Here is a 3,616-nt window from a genome sequence, read left to right on the forward strand (position 1 = left end):
CCTTAATTATGCTTTACAAGGGATTCCCTCCAAAGTTAAATAATTCTGAAAAATCTAAAATAAATATATTCCAGGGAAATCCAAATAGAAGAAAGAGAGTGTGGCAGTGTTCATATTTTCAAAAGTGTAATTCAAGGGAGGGAAAGCGTTAAATGGAACTGAGGGATTTTTTTTTTTCTTTTTTTTTGAGACAGACTCTTGCTCTGTCGCACAGGCTGGAGTGCAGTGGCACGAACTTGGCTCACTGCAGCCTCTGCCTCCTGGGTTCAAGCAATTCTCCTGCCTCAGCCTACTGAGTAGCTGGGATTACGGGCGCACACCACCACGCCTGGCTAATTTTTATATTTTAGTAGAGATGGGGACCTCACCATATTGGCCAGGCTGGTCTCGAACTCCTGACCTCAGGTGAGCCACCCCCCCTCAGCCTCCCAAAGTGCTGGGATTACAGCCGTGAACCACCATGCCTGGCTGGGATTTTTTAAATAATTGTATTGATAAAATACCCAATCATCAAGAAAAAATAATAGACATTTGTCGAACACTTACATGAATAATTTCATTTAATCTCATAACAATTATGTGAGGTAAATGTTATCTTTTTTGCCCCATTTAACAGATGAGGAAACTAAAGCTTAGAAAGATTAAGTAATTACTCCACCCCTACGTATTTTGTAAGGGGAAGAACCAAGATTTGAACCCATGTACCCTAACACCAGAGTTCGTGCTTTTGTTTATTGTTTTTGAGACAGGGTCTAACTCTGATTCCCAGGCTGAAGTGCAGTGGCATGAACATGTCTCACTGCAGCCTCGACCTCCTGGGCTCAAGTATCCTCCTACCTCAGCTTCCTGAGTAGCTGGGACTACAAATGCAAGCCACCGCTCCTGACTAATTTTTTTTTTTTTTTTTGTAGAGACAGGGTCTCAAACTCCTGGGCTTAAGCGATCCTCCTGCCTCCTCCTCCCAAAGCATTGGGATTACAGGCATGAGCCACCTCGCAGGGCCCAGAGTTTGTGCTCAATCACTGAGTGGCTGAGTAATCATGAATCTGAATCAGACAGATACATGGGCAGAAATACTGAAAAGAATATATAAAGCAAAAAGCAAAAATTGAGGCTGGGCGTGGTGGCTCACGCCTGTAATCCCAGCACTTTGGGAGGCCGAGGTGGCCAGATCACCCGAGATCGGGAGTTTGAGACCAGCCTGACCAACATGGAGAAATCTCGTCCCTACTAAAAATACAAAATTAGACAGGCGTGGTGGTGCATGCCTGTAATCCCAGCTACTGGGGAGGCTGAGGCAGGAGAATCGCTTGAACCCAGGAAGCGGAGGTTGCGGTGGGCCGAGATTGTGCCATTGCACTCCAGCCTGGGCAACAAGAGCAAAACTCCATCTCAAAAAAAAGCAAAAATTGAAAAACTAGGAGAATTTTACAAAAGCATGCAGAGTGGGAGATTTTAAAACACCTGACTCAAAATTTAACAGGTCAGATATTTTTAAAATCATGAAGACAATCTAAATAACAAAATTAACAAGACTGTTTTAATATATCTAGGTAGAATTTGAACAGGGAATTCCTTTTTTACCAATGCTTACAGAACATAAAAACAAATTGATTAAGTAATGAGTTTCAAAGTAAACCTTGATAAATTCCAAACAGTAGAAACTACACAGGCAATTTCAACAAATCAATAATAAAAAGACAAATGACCAAATAGAAAAATGGGCAAAGGATTGAAAGGGACTTTTTTACAAATGAGGATATATATAAATGGCCGAAAATATATAAAAAGATGCTCCAACTTCACTAGTAAACATAGAACATGAAATCAAATCAACAAATACTATTTCTCTTCACCCAAAAGATTGGGGAAAAAATAGAAAGTTGGATATCAGTTGTTGGTAAGAAAATAAAGAGAAGATTTTTTAGAGTTCTAGTGTAATGTAAATTGACATGCCGTTTTAAAGAACAATTTAGGGCCAGGCGTAGTGGTCACGCCTGCAATGCCAGCACTTTGGAAGGCCTAGGTGGGCAGATTATCTGAGGTCAGGAGTTCGAGACCAGCCTGACCAACATGGTGAAACCCCATCTCTACTAAAAATACAAAAAATTAGCTGGGCCTGGTGGCAGGTGCCTGTAGTCCCAGCTACTGGGAGGCTGAGGCACGAGAATCGCTTGAACCTGGGAGGCAGAGGTTTCAGTGAGCCAAGATCGCACCACAGCACTCCAGCCTGGGCGACAGAGTGAGACTCCATCTCAAACAAACAAACAAAAATAGGCCAGGCACGGTGGCTCACACCTGCAATCCCAGTACTTTGGGAGGCCAAGGCAGGGGGGTCACCTGAAGTCAGGAGTTCGAGACCAGCTTGACCAACATGGTGAAACCCCGTCTCTACTAAAAATACAAAAATTAGCCTGGCGTGGTGTCGTGCTCCTGTAATCCCAGCTACTCGGGAGGCTGAGGCAGGAGAATCGCTTGAACCCAGGAGGCAGAGGTTGCAGTGAGCTGAGATCGTGCCACTGCACTCCAGCCTGTGTGACGGAGCGAGACTCCGTCTCAAAAATACATAAATAATACATAAATACATAAATAAAATAAAGAACAATTTAGAAGTACGCATTAATAGCTTAAGCATATGTAACTATGTCACACACCGATTCAATTTGTAAATTCTACACCAGAGTTCTGATGCTGGCCAAGGCAATGTGTGCCACCACAACCTCTCTGTCCCACTGACTGCCAACTAAAAGATCTGGACAAAATACAAAAAGCACTGCCTGAGGATTCAGGAAATAACAAGTAGATTGGCAAGAGGGGCAAAAACTTGAAGAAAGACCCTAATGGGGTGAGTTTCCAGGGTTGTGTTCCTCTTTTATCACCCAGCTTTGACCCGAGGGTGGCCCAGATCTGGAACTGTGTAGCAGGTGCAGGCAACAAAATCTCCAAGAGAAACCCATCTTCCTGAACGGATAATTGGAAAAGGGGCCTCTTGTGAGTTACAGAGTGTAGGGTATCTTTTCTTCTCTTTTCTCTCTTTCGACCTGTCCTAAGGGTGAGCCAGTCAGAAAGCTACACTATGGTGGCAGGGGTGGTGGCACAGACACCCAAAACCCCCAAAGAAAACCCATCTTTCTTGCCGGATGAACCAGGAATAGGGGGTGTGAGGGGGGAATCCCCCTTGCTTTTTCTCTTTCTTTTCTCTCTTTGCATTACCCTGAGGGCGGCCAAAGCCATGTGGAGCTATACAGTAGATTATCTAGAGTTTTAGCCACCTGTGCTATTGCAGAAGCCAGAAGACTGGTCTAAACACACCAATTAAAAGACAACACTGGCTGAGTGCGGTGGCTCATGCCTGCAATCCCAGCACTTTGAGAGGCTGAAGTGGGTGGATCTCTCTTTTTTTGTTTGTTTTTTTTGTTTTGTTTTGTTTTGAGGCGCAGTCTCGCTCTGTCGCCCAGGCTGGAGTGCAGTGGTGTAATTGGCTCACTGCAAGCTCCGCCTCCTGGGTTGACACCATTCTCCCGCCTCAGCCTCCCGAGTAGCTGGGACTACAGGCTCCCGCCACCATGCCCGACTAATTTTATTTTTTGTATCTTTAGTAGAGACGGGGTTTCAC

This window comes from Homo sapiens, chromosome 9 (assembly GCF_000001405.40).
Source record: "Homo sapiens chromosome 9, GRCh38.p14 Primary Assembly".
NCBI lineage: Eukaryota > Metazoa > Chordata > Mammalia > Primates > Hominidae > Homo > Homo sapiens.